The sequence below is a fragment of the Homo sapiens genome, chromosome 22 (assembly GCF_000001405.40).
Source record: "Homo sapiens chromosome 22, GRCh38.p14 Primary Assembly".
In the NCBI taxonomy this organism is placed as follows: domain Eukaryota; kingdom Metazoa; phylum Chordata; class Mammalia; order Primates; family Hominidae; genus Homo; species Homo sapiens.
In genome coordinates this window covers 44,639,771-44,661,807 of record NC_000022.11, presented here as the reverse complement: position 1 = coordinate 44,661,807, position 22,037 = coordinate 44,639,771, and the positions used below count along the sequence as shown (strand labels likewise).

The 22,037-nt window shown below is 50.0% G+C and overlaps 1 pseudogene, besides 1 other annotated feature; it reads right to left on the bottom strand.

Moving 5' to 3' along the window:
* Positions 8,879–9,058: an enhancer, noted in NCBI's record as "active region_19212". NCBI's record gives its function as "activates an Ori minimal core promoter by ATAC-STARR-seq in GM12878 lymphoblastoid cells {active_cell/tissue: GM12878}" and the evidence as "EXISTENCE:reporter gene assay evidence [ECO:0000049][PMID:35858748]".
* Positions 9,266–9,973, bottom strand: ANP32BP2 (acidic nuclear phosphoprotein 32 family member B pseudogene 2; annotated as a pseudogene).

Below are 22,037 nucleotides of genomic sequence, written 5' to 3'. Positions count from 1 at the left end.
GCTGTGCCCTCCTCACCTCCTTCTCTTCCCTTCTAGGGTGGAAAGTCCTCGAAAGCAAGGATCCTGGCTCTCGGCTCTGTGTCAGCTCTGTGTATACAGCACAGGGCTTGGCACACCGTAGGTGCTTGGTGAACATCTGGGGAATGAAAGATACCTTGCAGATTCATATAAATGCCTCACCTGTGCCTCATAGTTGAGCACCACATCTGTCCACCACACCTGTGTGCCCCATCTCTGCATCACTCCTGGGCATCACACCTGAGTACCACATATGTGCACCACACCTGTGTGCCGAGCTCAGGTTGGCAAGTGGAGTGAGAGTAGTCTGTGGGAGCTGGAAGAGACTCGGACTCCAGCCAGGCCTGAGGACCCCACCCTCTGCTCCCAGCCCAGGGCTGGTCGGGTTGGGGGAGCTTGCCCCTCGGCTGTGTCTCTCTCAGGAGGTTCTGGGCTCCTTTGGACTCTGGAAGTGCCAGCTCCACCTTGGGGGCTGATACGGTTGGAGTGTTTGTCTCCTCCAAATCTCCTGTTGAAAAGTGATTCCTAGCGCGGGAGCTGGGGGCTGGCGGGAGGGATTGGCTCATGGGGGCGGATCCCTCATGAATGGTTTAGCGCGGGAGCTGGGGGCTGGCGGGAGGGGATTGGCTCATGGGGGCGGATCCCTCATGAATGGTTTAGCGCCACCTCCTTGGTGACGAGTGAGCTCTTGTTTCATTGATTCACAGGAGATCTGGTTGGTTAAAAGTCTGGGATGCCCTCTCCTTGGCTTCTTGCTTCCACTCTTGCCAGGTGAGATGCCTGCTCCCTCTTTGCCTCTCACCATGATTGGAAGCTTCCTGAGGCCTCCCCAGAAGCAGCTGCCAGCACCAGGCTTCCTGTACACCCTGTCGGACTGTGAGCCAATTAAACCGCTTCTCTTTGTACATGACCCGGTCTCAGGTATTCCTTCCTAGTAATGCAGTCGGACTAACACAGGGCACTGCCCTGTGTCACAGAATGGGAATGGAGCCCACTATCACAAACAAGGTCAGGAGGGCCTTTCCCTGGGCCCCACACAGACCTCTCACGGGGGAGAGTCCACCCCTGCTCCCAGCCATCTCCCCAGGTTTCTGGGTTTCTGATGGCTGCTACACTGCCGGGCAGCCCCTCGGCCTCACCCCTGAGCCCTACAGGAGATCCAGAGCCCCCCGAGACCTCAGGGCAGAGTTTGGCCCCTCCGCCACGCCCACAGCTGAGCCCTCCTGCCCGAGCGTGTTTGGTAATTTTCCTGAACATTGGAGGGGCCCTGGGGAGGGCCCATGTTGTGCACCCCATGGCTCTCCCCCTTCTCTGGGGAGCCCTCCCTCTCCAAACACCCGCCTGTCTTCTTGTGGACCACACAAATTTCAATGTCGTGGAGCAACAACATCAGACGAGGCCACTCCAGGACTGCGATGGGTCAGGACAAAAGCAAGACCCCTCCGTCATCGTGTCTGAGCACAGGCAACTGCAGGAGCATCGTCCAAGCCACCGAATGTCCAAACTCCCTGTGTCTCAGCAAACAGGAGTGAGGACAGCTGCTTCATCAATCACAGCCTTAGCCTCACTGCGGGCTCCCTGCCACATAGACAAGGTTTGCTAAGACCCCAGATCAGGCCGGGCGCGGTGGCTCACGCCTATAATCCCAGCACTTTGGGAGGCCAAGGCGGGTGGATCACCTGAGGTCAGGAGTTTGCAACCAGCCTGGCTAACATGGTGAAACACCGTCTCTACTAAAATACAAAAATTAGCCGGGTGGGCATGGTGGCGGGCGCCTGTAGTTCCAGCTTCTTGGGAGGCTAAGGTGGGAGAATCGCTTAAACTCGGGAGGTGGAGGTTGCAGCGAGCTGAGGTCATGCCACTGCACTCCAGCCTGGGCAACAGAGCAAGACTCTGTCTCAAAAAAAAAAAAAAAAAAAAAAACCCACGCACACAAAAACACCTGAGTCAGAGAACTAGCCCAGTTTCCCAAGAACGTTCAATCCAGAGTGGGGTCCTGAGCTTACATCTTCCCCAAATCGCCCAGCACAAGCCCAAACCCTCCACCAAGCCCTTCCCAGTGCCCCCCTTATTGAGCCTCCCTGCGTTTTCAATGGCCATGGGCTCTTTCTCACTGCAACCAGGGATAGGTCCAAGCTGTCCACCCACAGGGCTGCTCCTGTTGGTCCCTGGAGGGAGGGCTTTGGCAGTGGGGAGCCTCTCCCAGGGCCCCGAAGAGGCAGCCTTCTCCTGTCCTGACTGTGGGGAAGAGGGCAGGAGAGGAGTGAGCAGCTTGTGCCCCAGGTTGGTGGCTGTGCCTGTTGTCCAGCGGACCATCTGTGGCTGCTATCCCCATGGTGACAGGACCCGGCAGGCTCACTGGGGGAGGAGACCCAGCCCTGGGCAGTGGGCATCCTTGCCAGGCTGGGCTGGAGGAGTGGGAGCTCTAGCAGAGAGCTGCCAGCCTCCTGGCCCTGTCCCGCTGGCTCTGGCTTCAGCACAGACTCATCTGCTCCCGGGACTTGTCCCAGGGGAAAGCCAGGCTGCCTTCTGTCTTCAGCCTGGACCGGATCCCACTGGCCACAGCGGCTGAGTCTTTGGTTCAGTTTGAGGAGTGTTTGCTGGCTGCTAGGCTCTGAGTTTGGGGCTGGGGTGCAGGTGTGAGTTGGACCTGCCCTGGGGACCTTCCAGGCCAGGAAAGCCAGCCCCAGAAGTGTGACAAAGGTTGTAATACTGGAAGCCCAGAAAGGGTCTTGGGAGCTGGAACTGGAGGCCTCCCCTCTCCTTCCAGTAGTTCAGTAGAAGCTTCCTTCAAAGAGCAGATCTCAGGTTTGGGGCTCCCGGACCAGTGCGCATCCCACAGCCTCCCTTGAGCCTGGAACCTCTGGCCCTCCTTGCTCAAGTGTTCCGGGTGGGGGGGTTGCCTGCCTATGAGGGCCTGTGGCTTAGGTCCAGGCCCTGAGCCAAGGCAGCGGTGCTGGAGAGGATGAACTTAGCAGAACCCGACCTGCTGCGATGTGGGCCAGATTCCACTTCCTGAGGCCCTCTTCCTGGGGACAGTCACTCACCCCTCCCCGTGGGAATGGCTCTTGCTGCCCTGCTGCCCCTCCCACACCACAGGGGGTATAACGTGGGGATAAAAGGAGTCCGGGATGAGGCCTTTCCCTTGCAGCCAGACCCTGCCCCCCACCCCTCCAGTGTGCACTCCGAGAACCTGGCAGCGAGTCCCTGCACTCAGCCCAAACATCCTGTACCAGGGAGTGGGATTAGCCATGAGGTCGGCGGCCGGGCAGTCCCGCCAACAATCTGTCTTCAATTGCTGCTCTCAGGTTTCCCAACCAGAACAAGCCTCGCCTGTGTAGGGAACCCAGGCTCTTGGCCTGCCTTAAAATAACTCAGCATCCTTGGTGGCCTTCTGGGTGGAGGCAGCTTCTGAAGCTCTTCCCCCTTTCAGCCTTCCTGGGCCTCCCAGGACTACCCTGGACACCCCCTTCCCCAATTCAATGCTTCCTCACTGGAGCCAAGCCCTGGGTGGTGTTTTGTAGATTCCTTAGCGTCTTCTACATGGATGATCGAGTTGTCAGTGCGTAGAGACTGGTTAGGGCCTCTGAAATGAGGTGGAGTGGAAGTGACAAGAGCTGACCTCCCTGCCTTGTTCCTGAGCCCTGCGGAAAGCCTGTAGCCTCTCATCATTCACTGTGACTTTAGCTGTAGATTTTCTTCGGGTTTCTTTCCGGTTGGTGAAGTTCCTTTCCATTCTTAATTTGCTGAAAGATTAAAAACATTGTTTTTGCAACTATTGAAATCAATCTTTTTTTTTTTGAGACGGAGTCTCACTCTCTCTGTCACCCAGGCTGGAGTGCAGTGGCGCAATCTCGGCTCACTGCAAGCTCTACCTGCCAGGGTCACGCCATTCTCCTGCCTCAGCCTCCCAAGTAACTGGGACTACAGGTGCCCACCACCACGCCCGGCTAATTTTTTGTATTTTTAGTAGAGACAGGGTTTCACCGTGTTAGCCAGGATGGTCTCGATCTCCTGACCTCGTGATCCACCCGCCTCGGCCTCCCAAAGTGCTGGGATTACAGGCGTGAGCCACCAAGCCCGACCTGAAATCAATTGTTTATTCTATCAATGAGGCAAATCACACAGATTGATTTCAAATATTCAAGTAACCTTACATTTCTGGGAGAAATCGCATTTGGCCAGGATTCTTCACCCTTTGTATATATTGGGGGATTCCATGGGCTACAATCATGTTGAGGATATGTTGAGGGATACTGGTCTGTAATTTTCTTTCTTTCTCCCCTCCCCTCCCCTTCCCTTCTCTCTCTCCCCTCCATCCCTTCCTCCCTCCCCTCCCCTCCCTTCCCTTCCCCTCCCTCCCTCCCTCCCTCCCTCCCTCCCTTCCTTCCTTCCTTCCTTCTTTCCTTCCTTCCCTCCTTCCTTCCTTCCTTCCCTCCTTCCTTCCTTCTCTCCTTCTTGCTTTCTTGTTTCCATAAGACTGGTTACATTATTTCTTCCTTAAATATGTGCTAGAGGCTGGGCGTGGTGGCTCATGCCTGTAATCCCAGCACTTTGGGAGGGTAAGGCAAATGGATTGCTTAACGTCAGGAGTTCGAGACCAACCTGGCCATCATGGTGAAACCCCATCTCTACTAAAAATACAAAAATTAGCCAGGTGTGGTAGTGCACATCTGTAATCCCAGCTACTCCGGAGGTTGAGGCAGGAGAATCGCTTGAACCAGGAGGCAAAGGCTGCAGTGAGCCGACATCACACCACTGTACTCCAGTATGGGTGACAGAGTGAGACTCTATCTCAAAAAAAAAAAAAAAAAAAAAAAAGTGTTCTGGAAAAGCCATTAGAACCTGAAGTTTTCTTTGTGAGGTAGTTTTAATTACAAATCTAAATTTCCTTACTAAATATAAGGCTCTTCAGATTTTTTTAGTTTCTCCTGTGTCAGATTTGGTAAGTTATGTTTTTCAAGGAATTTATTAATTTCACACGTGTTGTGGAATTTATTAATTTCACATGTGTTGTCAAATTTATTAATTTCACATGTGTTGTCAAATTTATTGCTGTAAAGTTGTTCATAATGTTCCCCTATTATCTTTTTTAAATTTATTTTTATTTTTATTTTATTTTATTTTTTTTAAGACAGAGTCTCACTCTTCTGCCTAGGCTGGAGTGCAGTGGTGTGATCTTGGCTCACTGCAACCTCTGCCTCCTGGGTTTAAGCAATTCTCCTGCTTCAGCCTCCCAAGTAGCTAGGATTACAGGCACCCGCCACCACACCCAGCTAATGTTTTGGTATTTTTAGTAAAGACGGGATTTCATCATGTTGGTCAGGGTGGTCTTGGACTCCTGACCTCAGGTGAGGTCACCTGCCTTGGCCTCCCAAAGTGCTGGGATTACATGTGTGAGCCACTGTGCCTAGCCTCCCCTATTATCTTCTTAATGTCTGTAGAATCTGTAATGATATCCCCTCTTTCTTTCCCAGTATTGTTAATTTGTGTTTTCTCTCTTTTTCTTGGACAATGTTATCAGGTTTTTAGTTATTTTGTTAATCTTTTCAAAAAGCCAAAGAACCAACAATTGGGTTTTGTTCATTTTTGTATTAGTTTACTATTGCTGCTGTAACATAGAACTACAAACTTAATAGCTTCAATCAACAGAAATTTATTATCTATGGTTTTGAAGGTTAGAAGTCTAACATGGGCCTCACTGGCTCAAATCAAGATGTTTGCAGGGCTGTGTCCCTTTCTGGAGGCTCTCAGAGAGAATCCCTCCCCTGTCTTTTTCAGCTTTTAGAGGCTGCCCACGTTTCTTGGTTCATGTGCCCTTCCCTCCATCTTCACAGCCAGCAATGGTGAGCTGAATCTTTCTTACATCTCATCATTGCCCTCTTCTGCCTCTATTTCTACTTTTTTTTTTTTTTTTTTTGAGAAGAGTCTTGTTTTGTTGCCCAGGCTGGAGTGTTCAGTGGCGCGATCTCAGCTCCGTGCAACCTCCATCTTCTGGGTTCAAGTGATTCTCCTGTCTCAGTCTCCCCCAGTAGCCGGGATTACAGGCATGCTATTGTTTTTTTTTTTTTTGTATTTTTAGTAGAGACGAGGTTTCACCATGTTGGCCAGGCTGGTCTCGAACTCCTGACCTCAAATGATCCACTTGCTTTAGCCTCCCAAAGTGCTGGGATTACAGGCATGAGCCACCGCACCCGGCCTCTACTTCCACTTTTAAGAACCTTGTGATTACGTTGGGCCCACCTGAATAATTCAGGACGATCTCCCTATTTTAGCAGCCTTAATTTAACCTGCAATCTTAATACCTCTTTGCCATGAATCGTAACATGTTGACAGACTCTAGAGATTAGGACATGGACATCTTTGAGGGGCCATGGTTTTGTCACAATTTTCTCTATCTTTTTGTTTGTAATTTTATTCATTTTCTCTCATCTTTATTTCCATCCTTCTGCTTATATTGGGTTTAATTTAATGTAATTTAAATTCAAATTATTTATTTATTTTTTTTTTGAGACAGAATCTTGCTCTGTTGCCCAGGTTGGAGTGCAATGGCATGATCACAGCTCACTGCAGCCTTAACCTCCTGGGCTCAAGCCATCCACCCACCTCAGCCTCCCAAGTAGCTGGGACTACAGGCATGTGCCACCACACCTGCCTACTTTTTTGTATTTTTGGTAGAGACAGGTTTTTGTCGTGTTCCCCAGGCTGATCTTGAACTCCTGGGCTCAAGCAATCTGCTGCCTCAGCCTCCCAAAATGCTGGGACTATAAATGTGAGCTGCTGTGCCTGGCCTAATTTTTATTTTTATTTATTTATTTTTTTGAGACAAGGTCTCAACTCTGTCACCCAGGCTGGAATCCAGTGGTGTGGTCATGGCTCATTGCAGCCTCTACCTCCTGGGCTCAAGTGATCCTCCCATCTCATCCTTCCAAAGAGCTGGGACTACAGGTGTACCCCATCACACCTGGCTAATGTTTTAATGTTTTTGTAGAAACAGGGTCCCACTATGTTGCCCAGGCTGGTCTTGAGCTTCTGGGCTCAAGTGATCCTCCTGCCTCAATTTTATTTTATTTTTATTTTTATTTATTTTATTTATTTATTTTTGAGATGGAGTCTTGCTCTGTCGCCCAGGATGGAGTGCAGTGGCGCGATCTCGGCTCACCGCAAGCTCTGCCTCCCGAGTTCACGCCATTCTCCTGCCTCAGCCTCCCAAGCAGCTGGGACTACAGGCACCTGCCACCATGCCTGGCTAATTTTTTGTATTTTTATTAGAGACAGTGTTTCACCGTGTTAGCCAGGATGGTTTCAATCTCCTGACCTCGTGATCTGCCCCCCTCGGCCTCCCAAATTGCTGGGATTTTAGGCGTGAGCCACCACGCCTGGCCTATTTTATTTTTATAGCTTCTTTTATATTTTTTTGAGACAGAGTCTTGCTCTGTCACCCAGGCTGGAGTGCAGTGGTGGGATAGCAGCTCACTGCAAACTCTTCCTCCCAAGTTCAAGTGATTCTCATGTCTCAGCCTCCTGAATAGCTGGGATTACAGGCATCCACCACCAGGCTCGGCTAATTTTTGTATTTTTAGCAGAGATGAGGTTTTGCCATGTTGGCCAGGCTGGTCTCTAACTCCTGGCCTTGGTCTCCCAAAGTGCTGGGATTATAGGTGTGAGCCACTGGACCTGGTCTTTTATACCTTCTTTCAATTATTGAGCTTGTTCTTTTTTTTTTTTTTTTTTTTTTTTGAGACAGAGTCTTGCTCTTGCTGTCCAGACTGGAGTGCAGTGGCACAATCTCCACTCACTGCAACCTCAACCTCCTGGGTTCAAGTGATTCCCCTGCCTTAGTAGGAGTTGCTGGGGTTACAGGCGTCCACCACCACACCCGGCTAATTTTTTTTTTTTTGAGATGGAGTTTCGCTCTTGTTTTCCAGGCTTGAGTGCAGTGGCGCAATCTTGGCTCACTGCAACCTCCTCCTTCCGGTTTCAAGCGATTCTTCTGCCTCAGCCTCCTGAGTAGCTGGGATTACAGGCATGTACCACCAGGCCTGGCTAATTTTTGTATTTTTAGTAGAGACGGGGTTTCACCATGTTGGCCAGGCTGGTCTCAAACTTCTGACTTAGTGATCCACCTGCCTTGGCCTCCCAAAGTGTTGGGATTACAGGTGTGAGCCACCGTGCCTAGCCATTTTGTTTGTATGTTTAGTAGAGATGGCGTTTCACTATGTTGGCCAGGCTGGTCTCAAACTTCTGGCCTCAGGTGATCCACCCGCCTTGGCCTCCCAAAGTGCTGCAATTATAGGCATGAGCCACTGCACTCAGTCAATCACCACCTTTTAATTGGAGCATTTATTCCATTTACATTTAATGTAGTTACTGATATAGTTGGGTTTAGGCCCACCATCTGTTACGTATTTTATATTCATCTTCATTGACCCCTTCATCATGTCCAAATTCTTCTTCCTCCTCACTGACTTCATCTTCACCTTCTTCACAGTCTACATCTTCACTTTCGTCATCACCTTCTTTACAGTCTACATCTTCACTTTCATCTTCACCTTCTTCAGTCTACATCTTCACTTTCATCTTCACCTTCTTCACAGTCTACATCTTCACTTTCATCATCACCTTCTTTACAATCTACATCTTCACTTTCATCTTCACCTTCTTCACAGTCTACATCTTCACTTTCATCTTACCTTCTTCACAGTCTACATCTTCACTTTCACCTTCACCTTCTTCATAGTCTACATCTTCACTTTCGTCATCACCTTCTTCACAGTCTACATCCTCACTTTCATCTTCACCTTCTTCACAGTCTACATCTTCACTTTCATCTTCACCTTCTTCACAGTCTACATCTTCACTTTCATCTTCACCTTCTTCACAGTCTACATCTTCACTTTCATCTTCACCTTCTTCAGTCTACATCTTCACTTTCATTTTCATCTTCTTCACAGTCTACATCTTCACTTTCATATTCACCTTCTTCACAGTCTACATCTTCACTTTCATCTTCACCTTCTTCACAGTCTACATCTTCACTTTCATCATCACCTTCTTCACCGTCTACATCTTCACTTTCATCTTCACCTTCTTCACAGTCTACATCTTCACTTTCATCATCACCTTCTTCACCGTCTACATCTTCACTTTCATCTTCACCTTCTTCACAGTCTACATCTTCACTTTCATCATCACCTTCTTTACAGTCTACATCTTCACTTTCATCTTCACCTTCTTCACAGTCTACATCTTCACTTTCATCATCACCTTCTTTACAGTCTGCATCTTCACTTTCATCTTCACCTTCTTCAGTCTACATCTTCACTTTCATTTTCATCTTCTTCACAGTCTACATCTTCACTTTCATATTCACCTTCTTCATAGTCTACATCTTCACTTTCATCTTCATCCTCGTCGCCATCAAACTCTTCCTCTTCACTATCCTTATCCTCCTCATTTTCCTTGTTTCCTCCTTCTTCATCCTCCTCTTCATCATCTACATCATCCCCCTCAGCATCTGAGTTGGGGGCTTCCTGGTCCTCTTGGTCATAGTGATCAAGGTAGGTCAGCTGGGGCAGGAGCTTGAAGACCCTCTCCCAGTCTTCATTCAGGCTAGTAACCTCACGGTTTAAGAGGTCCAGGCTCTTTAGACGTTCCAACTTTTTCAAAGGTTCTAAAGTTCTGATATCTTTCAGTGTATTTCCATCCAAGTTTAGATGTGTGAGTTTCTAACATGTCCAGATCTCCAAAGACTCTATTGTCATGGCAGCCAGGGGAGATTTGAAAATGAAATCAAGCCTGCAGTTATTAAATGAAGGAACTCTAAGTTCACAAATTCAACTGTAAAGCCCTCAATTTTTCCATCACTTGATTGGCAATTGTCCAAGACAAGTTTTAGAACAGCGGGTGGGGTCTGGTATTTCAGCTCCACGTGGAGTCTCCTCCTCATGTTCACGTTCCCCTCTTCTCCACTCTTCAAACTTTCTGAAGATGGGGGAAGGATGTTCCCGCCTGTGCAGTAGGGCCATCAGAAGGAGTCTGCTCGTGGCAGAGGCCAGCGGTGTGGTCCTGGGAAATGTGTAGCTTGCAGGCAGACAAACAGAGCCCCCAGAGTCAAGTAACTCACGGGAGTAGAGAGAAATCGTGGAGGGAAAAGGCAATGTGTATTTTTTTTTTTTTGAGACAGAGTCTTGCACTGTTGCCCAGGCTGGAGTGCAATGGCGCGATCTTGGCTCCCTGTAACCTCCACCTCCTGGGTTCAAGAGATTCTTCTGCCTCAGACTCCCGAGTAGCTGGGATTACAGGTGCCCGCCACCATGCCCAGCTAATTTTTTGTATTTTTAAATAGAGACAGGGTTTCACTATGTTGGCCTGGCTGGTCTCGAACTCCTGACTTCGTGATCGCCAGCCTCGGCCTCCCAAAGTGCTGGGATTACAGGTGTGAGCCACTGTGCCTGGCTGGCAATGTGTATTTTTAACTCATCACAGATTACCCTGAATTAATAGAAAATGTGAGAACCTTACAACATCATCCTCTAATTCCTTCATCCTTTGTGTTATTGTTTTGTTATATATTTTACCTGAAAATATATTATAACCCCCACAATACATTGTTATTATTTTGCTTTATATAGTCAATTGTCTTTTAAAGAAATTGAAAAGAAGAAAATAGTATTCTATATGTATCCATATACTTATTTCCATTGCTCTTCATCCCTTTTTCTATATCTGAGTTTTCATCTTGCATAATTTTCCTTCAGCCCTCTAGAAGTTCTTGAAGTTCCTCTAGAAGTTCCTTTTTTTTAAATTTTTTTTTGAGAGAGGCTTTCACTCTGTCGCCTAGGCTAAAGTGCAATGGTGTGATTTCTGCTCACTGTAACCTCCACCTCCTGGGTTCAAGCGATTTTCCTGCCACAGCCTCCTGAGTAGCTGGGATTACAGGCATGTGCCACCATGCTTGGGTAATTTTTGTATTTTTAGTAGAGACAGGGTCTCACCATGTTGGCCAGGCTGGTCTCGAACTCCTGGACTCAAGTGATCTGCCCACCTCGGCATCCCAAAGTGCTGGGATTACAGGCATGAGCCACCGTGCCTGGCCCCTCTAGAAGTTCTTTTAGTTTACACCTGGTAGTGAAGAAGTTAGCTTGTATTTAACCAGAAATGACTTTAGTTTACCTTTATTTTTAATTAATTAACGTATTCATTTTTGAGATAGGGTCTTGCTTTTTCACCCAGGCTGGAATGCAGCAGTGCAATCATAGCTCACTGTAACCTCAAATTCCTGCCGTCAAGCAATCCTCCTGCGCCAGTCTCCTAGAGTGCTGAGATTACAGGTGTGAGCCACTGCGCCCAGGCTGCCAGTATTTTTAAAGGACATTTTTGCTGGATCTAAAATTCCAGTCTGACAGTCCCCTGCTGTCCCCACCCCCTGCAGTGCTTTAAAGATATTGTTCCATTGTCTTCTGGATTCTCTTGTTTCTGATGAGTAGTAAGCTGTCATTTTTGTTGCTATTCTCCTGTATGTTATATGCCGTTTCTGTCTAGCTGCCTTTAAGACTTTCTCCTTAGATTTGGTTTTTCAGCAGCTTAGCTAAAATATGTCTATGTTGGTTGCTTTGTATTTATTATTTGAATTTTTCTAAACTTCTTACATCCATGGGCTGATGTTTTTGCTAGATGCAAACTTGCATTGTGGATAATTACATTTGAAACATTTTTAGTAATTATTTTCACATTTTTTCATTTGTTTTTCTGTCTTCTATCTTTCTTTCTTTCTTTTTTTTTTTTTTTGAGATAGAGTCTTGTTCTGTCGCCCAGGCTGGAGTGCAATGGTGCGATCTCGGCTTACTGCAACCTCCACCTCCCGGTTTCAAGTGATTCTCCTACCTCAGCCTCCAGAGTAGCTGGGATTACAGGCATGTGCCATGATGCCTGGCTAATTTTTGTATTTTTAGTAAAGATGGGGTTTCACCATGTTGGCCAGGCTGGTCTTGAACTCCTGACCTCAGCTGATCCACCCCTCTCCACCTCCCAAAGTGCTGGGATTATAAGCGTGAGCCACCGCACCTGGCCCTGTCTTCTATCTAAGACTAATATTTGTTGAATTTTTTTTTTGAGACGTTGTCTCACTATGTCACTCAGGTTGAAGTGCAGTGGCATGATCATGGCTCACTGCTGTCTCTACCTCCCAGGCCCAAGTGATCCTCCCTCCCACCTCAGCCTCTCAAGTAGCTGGGACTACAGGCGTGTGCCACCATGCCTGGCTAACTTTTTTCTTTGTAGAGATGAGGTCTCTCTATGTTGCCTAGGCTGGTCTCCAACTCCTGAGCTCAAGCAATCTGCCTGCCTTGGCCTCCCAAAGTGCTGCAATCACAGGCATGAGCCACCACGTCTGTCCCATATTAGCGTTCTAATTCAAACAACATGCTTCTCCTTACTCAGCCCTCGATGGAGGCGGTGTTCTGTGGGCACCACTCCCCACAGGGTCCTTCCTTCTCTGCCTCCATCCTTTCGTGGCCTCCCTTCAGAGGCTTTCCAAAGCCCTTCTGGTCCAGCTCCTGTCCCTGGGCCACTGACTCCTGTTCTCCCGGAGAAGGAAGAAGGCGGCCTGGCAGCTTTATCTGGGTGTTCAGTGCCTGGGCTGCCTGGGGCTTAGCACACTCACTGTATCCATCTGTCTCTGGCGTGCACGCCGCCGCTCGCTCACACGCCCAGTTGTTTACCACGAAAGGCCAAGCAGAGTAGCAGAAAGATTCCTGGGGGAGGAATCACGGCACAAATGGGTGTCCACTTCTCGTCTGCCTGTCTCTCTCCCTGCAGTCTAAAGCAAGTCATGCCACGTCTCTGGGCTCAGGATTTCCCCCCGATTCCGGGATGGGAGGAGTGATGTTTACTTCCTGAAAAGCTGGGAGGATTGGATGAGGGAGCACAGACTAGGAAGGCCTGGCCTGAGATGTCCACTGAGTCAGCCAGTCTTGGCCCTGGTGGCCGCTCCCCCAGGCTGGAGGCTGGGGACCCCCATGAACCTTGGGTCAGCAGCATTAGTGAGAGGCCTGGGCTCAGATGGGAACAACCTCCTAGCCATCAGCAGAAAGCCAGTCAGGAGGATGTTAAGTGGGGGAGGGTGGGGTGCAGCCTGAGGTCTGGGGCCGAGGTCCCCACCTGCGTGAGCCAGGGGTAGGATTGGCCCCTCTGAGTAATTGGGGGATCTGAGGCTGCAGCTGTCCTCCTGGAAAAGCAGACACAGCACTTCTGCTCTGTGTGTGACTTGCTGCAGCCCCGCCCTGCCCTCTGAGGTCCTCCCCTTTCTTGAGCCTCTTACAACTGGGACTGAACCTGGTGAGGACGCTGCCCTTGTTTCCCATCCCTGGGACTGGAGCCCTGCCTGTCTCCTCCTTCTCTCCCTCCTTCCTTCATTCCTTCCTTCCCCACTTGCCTACATGGCCACCTTCTAGCTGCAGACCTGTCTCTCTCGGCCTCGGGCTCCTTACTTGTAAAACAGACTAAGCCGGGCCCAGTGGCTCACACCTGTAATCCCAGCACTTTGGGAGGACAAGGTGGGTGGATCAGTTGAGGTCAGGAGTTCGAGACCAGCCTGGCCAATATGGTGAAACCCCGTCTCTACTAAAAATACAAGAATTAGCCCAGTGTGATGATGCGTGTCTGTAATCCCAGCTACTCAGGAGGCTGAGGTGGGAGAATCGCTTGAGCCTGGGAGGCAGAGGTTGCAGTGAGCTGAGATCGTGCCACTGCACTCTAGCCTGGGTGACAGAGTGAGACTCCATCTAAAAAAAAAAAAAGATAACTTGTAAAATAGACTAATGTTATCTACCCTGAACATTTGTCACAGGGATGAAATCAGACTCTGGCCACAGAGCCTTGGGGCAGGGGCTGGCACCTGGTGGGCACTCGGTGGGCAAAGGTAGAATGAACAGGTGAGTCCTGGCACCAGCCCAGCATCACAAATCCATACTGCTTCACATGTGCCAGTTCAGGGAGCTAGATACAGGGTTCCCTGCCCTCTCTGTGGAAGAGGTAGCCCCTTTTCAACAGGTTTTTGAAGGCAACAACGACACTTAAGACTATGATGAGGGGCCAGGGGCCGTGGTTCCTGCCTGTAATCCCAGCACTTTGGGAAGCCAAGGCAGGAGGATGGCTTGAGGCCAGGAATTTAAGACCAGCCTGGGCAACATGGTGAAACCCCATCTCTACAAATAATATAATAATAAAAAAGCTGGGAGTGGTGATGCATGCCTGTAGTCCCAGCTACACGGGAGGTTGAGGTGGGAGGACTGCTTGAAACCCAGGAGTTTGAGGCTGGAATGAGCTGTGATAACGCCATTACACTCCAGCCTGGGTGACAGAGCCAAGACTCTGTCTCTAAAAAAAAAAAAAAAAAAACTGGCCAGGTGCTGTGGCTCATACCCTCATAACTGTAATCCCAGCATTTTAGGAGGTCAAGGCAGGCAGATCACTTGAGGTCAGAAATTTGAGACCAGCCTAGTCAACATGGTGAAACCCGGTCTCTACTAAAAATATCCAAATTAGCCAGGCGTGGTGGTGGGTGCCTGTAATCCCAGCTACTCGGGAGGCTGAGGTGGGAAAATCGCTTGAACCTGGGAGGCAGGGGTTGCAGTGAGCCGAGATCTCGCCATTGCACTCCAGCCTGGGCGACAGAGTGAGACTCTGTCTCAAAAAAAAAAAAAAAAAAAATTGACTATGATGGGAATCTATCAGAGGAAATGATGTAGTCTCCAGGGCTGGGAGTTCCAACTGTGATCAGACAGGAGACCTGGGGGAGGTGGTTGAAGGATGCTGCTTGCTTAAAATCAGCTTGCTCCCCATTTCCCTGCCCCACCTGCACTGCTGGGCCCTGCTCTGCCGCCACCTCCCCCTCCCCCTCCCCCATCTGCTGGTCTGACCTCACTTTGATTGGTAGAAACTGGTGATTAGCTCGGGGGCCACTCTCAGGCTGGAGCTAACCCTGACTAACTGCTTCTAACTCACTTGGCTTTGAGAAAGCCCTGCCCTTCTCTGCACTGTCAGCTGAGAGGGTCGGGCCTAGACAGTCTAGCTTCTTTTTTTTTTTTTTTTTTTTGAGACCGAGTCTCGCCCTGTCGCCCAGGCCGGAGTGCAATGGCGACATCTCGGCTCACTGCAACCTCTGCCTGCGGGGTTCAAATAATTCTCCTGCCTCAGCTTCCTGAGCAGCTGGGATTATAGGCAGGTGCCATCATGCCTGGCTAATTTTTTGTATTTTTAGTAGAGGCGGGGTTTCACCATGCTTGCCAGGCCAGTCTTGAACTCCTGACCTCGTGATCCGCCCACCTCGGCCTCCCAAAGTGCTGGGATTACAGGTGTGGGCCCCCATGTCCGGCCTGACAGTCCAGCTTCTTAAGTTTTGAAAACCGGTTCCACCACTGAGCCCTGCCGCTCCATGGACCCATTTCAAAAGCGTGGTAACTGAGGTTCGCAGAGGCAGCATTAGAACCTGCAGCTGCCGACTGCGAAGCCCTTGCTCTACATGAAGCCATCACTGCTCCTGGCAGCAGTTTTCCATCTTCCAGGTTGACCATTCGTCCAAGCATTTTGCACCCATTAGCCTGGCTGGGGTCAAACTCAACGACTCTATGAAGCCTGTAAGGAAATGGGGAGGCGGGCTCAGAGCAGCCACCCTTTCTGCCCCCAAGGGGGTTAACCGCCAAAACCTCAACATCAAGGTCAGACCGAGGTCGTCGGGTCCAGATATCTCCTAATCATGCCTCTGGAGCTCTGGGGATCCTGAAGGGGCCCCTGGCATTGGGGGAGGGAGCAGGCAGGGCTCTGGGCCCACCTCAGTTTTAACGGAACCATCAGATGAGCTGTGGGATGTCAGCGGGATACCAGCTCTTCCCTGGCCCTGGCACTCACCCTCATCTTGCCTGCCCACATGCCCATGCCAACCTGTTAGCAGATCCCATCCCCTCTCAGGGTCACCCCCAGTCCCCTGCACAAACCGTCAGTGAGCAGGATGAGCTCCGCTGAGGATCTGTGGGCCAGGCCAGGAGGGGCTCTGCACACCCACCACACGGCCAGCAGGGACAACGCCCCCTTAGCGTCTCCCTCCCTGACCTCGTCCCCTCCTCAGAGCCTCCCAGACAGCTCTTGCCACTCCTCCTCGCTGCCTGTCTTCTCTTTCCTCCTAGAGTTTCGCCTCCACGATTCTCACACTCTCCTCCTCTGTAAGTCACGAAGCCATTCCCTTAGCCACAGGTCCTACTCGCCAAGAACTGTGAAGGACATGAGATTATACCCTATTTGCAAGGTAAGAAAAGAGCCTGCCTCCGTTCCGTAAATTCTGGCAGAAGATATGAGACTCCTGGGTCAGAAACAAGAAACAGTTCATGACCCACAGCAGCAGCGGGAGCCAGAGTATCTGCATTTTTATGGGCCAGTTCCAAGAATAACACAAATAGGGCTCAATGGCAGCTTTGTATTCAGGGGATTGTGTAGAAGAGGAGCCTTGAGCTCAGAGAACCTGAATCTTTTATAGCAGGTGGTGAGCGTGCCTGCTGTTTACTCTGCAGAGAAAAAGTAGCTCCATAGTTCCAGGCTGTTTACTTATACTGTGTTGACTTTCATCCTCCAAAAATTCCTGGCCACCTGGAAACTGAATGTGACTTTACAGTTGGTCCTTGAACAACATGGACTTGAACTGCTTGGATCCACTTATACTTGCATTTTCTTTCACCTCTGCCATCCCTGAGACAGCAAGACCAACACCTCCTCTTCTTCCTGCTCCTCAGCCTGCTGAACATGAAGATGACAAGGATGGAGACCTTTATGGTGACCCACTTCCACTTAATGAATTGTAAATACATTTTCTCTTATTTATGGTTTTCTTAAAACATTTACTTCTCTCTAGCTTCCTTTATTGTAAGAATACAGTGTGTAATACACACAACATACAAAATATGTGTTAATTAACTGTTTCTGTTATCAGTAAGGCTTTCAGTCAATAGCAGGCTATTCAGCTGGGAGTGGTGGCTCACCTGTAATCCCAGCACTTTGGGAGGTTGAGGCGAGTGGATCACTTGAGGTCAGGAGTTCGAGACCAGCCTGGACAACATAGTGCAACCCCGTCTGTACTAAAAATACAAAAAAAGTAGCCTGCCATGGTGGCGCATTCCTATAATCCCAGCTACTCGGGAGGCTGAGGCAGGAGAATCGCTTGAACCTGGGAGGCAGAGACTGCAGTGAGCTGAGCTCATGCCACTGCACTCCAGCCTGGGTGACAGAGTGAGACTCTGTCTCAAAAAAAGAAAGGAAAAGGAAAATGTACTAACAAATAATACTATGGTGGGTAATTATGTGCACCCAGCTTTATAACCGCAGTCATCTGGAATACCTGGATGAGCAACCTAAGTCTTTTGATAAGACCGTTCAAAATCTGTGATGGGCCACCAGTGCCTGTGCACTCACCCAGAGAGCTGAGATCTGGAGAAACTTTACCTTTTCCAAGTGCAGATGGACAAAAAGGACGTCACTTCATTGAGGAAGTTTCAACATTTTTATATAACACACACACACACACACACAGTGCTTACACACAAAGTCAACGCTGTGATAATGCACTTTTGTGGAGTCAAATTTGCAAAAGATGCAAAAAATGAATTAGAACTCTCTAAAAGTCTCCATGCAATTTATACTTCCAGGATTGGAAATGATGCAAAGATTAAATCCATAGCATAACAAATTGTAAAAAAACAATGCTGCTAGTTTAAAAGAGTGAGTGAAAAGAAAACCTAAACAAAGAAAAAGAAAAGAAAAAAGAAAACTAACAAACCAAAAAGACGACTCGATATGAAAAAATGTATTACTCGGATAGACTATGGGCTATTACTCAGAGACAGTCCATAAGAGCTGGCCAACTTTCATTGTTATTAACTATAGTTTGAAGTCTTGCATCTCGATGAGTAGCTGCTTTTTTTTTTTCTTTTGAGATGGAGTCTCACTCTGTCACCCAGGCTAGAGTGCAGTGGCGCGATTTCAGCTCGTTGCAAACTTCGCCTCCCGAGTTCGAGCGATTCTCCTGCCTCAGCCTCCCGAGCAACTGGGACTACAGGCTACCGCCACCACCCCCAGCTAATTCTTGTATTTTTAGTAGAGACGGGGTTTCACCATATTGGCCAGGCTGGTTTTGAGCTCCTGACCTCGTGATCCACCCGCCTTGGCCTCCCAAAGTGCTGGGGTTACAGGCGTGAGCCACCACGCCCGGCTGCTTTTTTTTTTTTTCTTTTTTATTAAGAGCATACCTCTCCTGTGAGAATATGTTCATGTTCATTTTCTACATGGCTCTGCTCTTTATGAAAGTTTTCTATCATTTGACATACACCGACATGGGCATTCTATCATTCCACATGCACTCACATGCAGACCACAGATTTGGTGGTCACAGTACTGCCTAGGCTGGAGTGCAGCGGCGCAATCTCAGCCCACTGCATCCTCCGCCTCCTGGGTTCAAGTTATTCTCTTGCCTCAGCCGCCTGAGTAGCTGGGGTGACAGGTGCCCGACACCATGCCCAGCTAATTTTTGTATTTTTAGTAGAGACGAGGTTTCACCTTGTTGGCCAGGCTGGTCTCGAACTTCTGACCTCAAGTGATCTGCCAGCCTTGGCCTCTCAAAATGCTGGGATTACAGGTGTGAGCCACCACGCCCAGCCAGCTGTACGTGTCTTCCTATCCTACGTGCACATAATTATATTCAAACCAGTCAGAAACTTCAGTGGCTTCTTCAGGCAAATGTGGCTGTATTTCTTTAAAAGCTCTCCGAGGCATGAGAAAAGAAAAATAAAAAGAAAAAAAGAAAAACTAGAAATAGAAAAAAATAAATACATGAAAGCTCCTAGAATATTGTCAGCTGGAAGGAATGCCAAGGCAGGCAAATGACCTTTTTTTTTTTTTTTTTTTGAGACAGAGTCTTGCTCTGTCACCCAGGCTGGAGTGCAGTGGTGTGATCTCAGCTCATTGCAACCTCTGCCTCCCAGGTTCAAGCGATTCTCCTGCCTCAGCCTCCTGAGTAGCTGGGATTATAGACGCCTGCCACCATGTCTGGCTACTTTTTGGATTTTTAGTAGAGATGGGGTTTCATCACATTGGCCAGACTGGTCTTGAACACCTGAACTCAGGTGATCTTCCTGCCTCGGCCTCCGCAAGTGCTGGGATTACAGACGTGAGCCACCGCGCTGGGCCAAAGACACACTTTTAAGCTGAAGTTTTTGTGGCTGCTGTATCAAATGGCCCATCCAGTTGTCTGCATTTTCCACCAAATGCCTTAGGCTGAATGGAAAAAACAAACTTTATTGGTAACACCTTGCCATTCGCTTTTAGAAGCCTTGATCACCTCTAATCCCAAATCTGTCATGACTGGAGGAGTCAATTAGATGTTAGGAATTTTAGACTTTAGGGATTTAGACTTTAGGGATTTTGATCTTTTGGGATTTCAGCATTCAGGATTATGGTACTCAAAACAGTCATTAGGGATTATGACCCAAACCCCAGACCAAGACGTAGCACGTGGCAAGCACTCATAAATACTTAGGGGTTGAATGACAGCTGAAGGGGAGCGCTGGCCCTAGGCTGTGGGCCAGCCAATTCTGGCTCCGTATCCTGGCTCTGCTCCCAGGGAGCTGTGTGATTTCAGGCAAGCCTTTTACCTCCCTGACTCTCAGTTTCCTCATCTGTCAAATGGGGACAGAGGCCGGGCGCCGTGGCTCACGCCTGTGAATCTCAGCACTCTGGGAGGTCGAGGCAGGCAGATCACTGGAGGCCAGGAGTTTGAGACCAGCCTGGCCAACATGGTGAAACCACGGCTCTACTAAAAATACAAAAAAATTAGCTGGGCGTGGTGGTGGGCACCTGTCATCCCAGCTACTCAGGAGACTGAGGCAGGAGAATCGCTTGAATCCAGGAGGCGGAGGTTTCAGTGAGCCGAGATCGTGCCACTGCACTCCAGCCTGGGTGACAGAGCAAGCCTACGTCTAAAAAAAAAAAGGTACAGAAATACATACTTTGCAGCATATTGAGATGATTTGAGATAATATGAGAGAAAACTCCTGGCTGGCACAGTGCCCAGCATATAGCAGGTGCTTAGCCCTTTCTTGCTGCTCTCTGGAACCTAGAGGGCTCCTGGGGCACCCCCCTCTGGTCTGTCTGGAGGACTTGGGTGGCTCTGAACCCTGGACATAGCACCATTCCTATGGGGCTTCCTGATGAGGGGCCTTGGGGTAAACCTTGATATAATAACACCCCCCTTCACTTATAGATTCTTTCCTGGGCTTCTTGGCTATTGGGCATCCAAGAGCAACTTGATTGCTTCTAGAGATGGTGGGCTCACTACTCCCAGCAGTTGCCTGAGCGTTCATTCTGGGATTGAGGTTGAAGAAAGATCTTTCTTGTCCGCCCTGTTTGTCCTGCTGTCTGCTGCCTCCGCTGGTCTGTTGGCCTAGGAGCTGGGTTCCTGGAGGCCAGGGACTTGAGGATTCAGTTCAGAATTGAACCAAGGTTGGAAAAAGAATCTGGAACATACAGAAGTCAGTTAGGAAAGAAATCCCGTCAGTTTTCACCCCCTTTTCTTTAGAAGCTGGCCTCGGTACTTCCATGGGGCAGGAATTGTATTTTTGTGTCCTCCACCATCTCTTCTGTCTAGAAATCTCCGTCTCATCCTCTGGGAGCGGCCACAGGAACACAGCCACCCCCGGGAGAGGCTTGCAGTCTCTCTGCCCTCCATACCCCCCGGCTGCTGCCTCGCCGTGTTCCTGGCCTGCAGCAGGCCTCCAGTGAGGCTGTGAACCGGCCAGACCTGGGGCTCCCAGAGTCTGGTCAGGGCTCTGCCTCCTCTCATTCACTCGAGCATTCCCTTTTTCCTCCATTCACTCGTTTGCTGGTCACTGTCAACTGCCCAGGCGTTGGCCACAGTCCCCTTGGTGAGCAGGTGAATGGGGCTGACTCAGCTCCAGGTCCGAGAATTGCCCCCAGTCTTGGGAGAAACAACATCTCCTGGCTTTGTCTTGTCCTCTGGGACCTGGAATCTCCATGACACTCGGGGGCAGGAATCCACAGTCCTACACTACAGGAGAGGTCCCTGGGCTCTGGCAGTGATGGCTGGTGGGAGCTGGCAGACCCAGAGCTGGATTGTGGCCTCAGCCACTGTGGTTCCAACCTCAGCAGTGGCAGCGCCGCCCTGGCCCTGGCTCCCACGGGAGGGTGGGCTGTGGAGGCGATACTGCTCCCATCTCGCCCCAGCTTCCCTCAGCTGTTTCCTGCACAGGCTGTCCACGGAGCTGGCTCTGCCCAACCCCCTCCTCCCCTCCTCCCTCCTCCCCGGCCCTGGGACAGGCACTGTGTTCTGTTTCCTGGCTGACCCCATCCCAGTGCTCGGGGAGGGGGGCGCCTTTGTGACCCTGAGGGAACTCCCGGGCCTCCTGCTTGCCCCCATTGCAGTATCATGGAGCCAGGCAGGCTGAGCAGCCTAGTCTTGGTTTGGCCCCTGCTGGTGTTCTGGGACCCTGGGTTGGCTCTGGCCCCTGCTGGTGGCCTGGGGCCCTGGGTTGACTCTGGCCCCTGCTGGTGGCCTGGGACCCTGTGTTGGCTCTGGCCCCTGCTGGTGGCCTGGGACCCTGGGTTGGCTCTGGCCCCTGCTGGTGGCCTGGGACCCTGCGTTGGTTCTGGCCCCTGCTGGTGGCCTGGGACCCTGGGTTGGCTCTGGCCCCTGCTGGTGTTCTGGGACCCTGGGTTGGCTCTGGTCCCTGCTGGTGTTCTGGGACCCTGGGTTGACTCTGGTCCCTGTTGGTGGCCTGGGACCCTGGGTTGGCTTTGGCTCCTGCTGGTGGCCCGAGGCCCCAGGTGGACTCTGTGGCCCTCGCTGGGCTTCTGTCTGCCTCAGCCAGGCATGGCCTGGGACACATTCAGTCCCCAGCTCACAGAATGTTTATGATGTGAACCTCCCAGCATAGTTAGTGACCCAGAGTAAGTACTCAGAA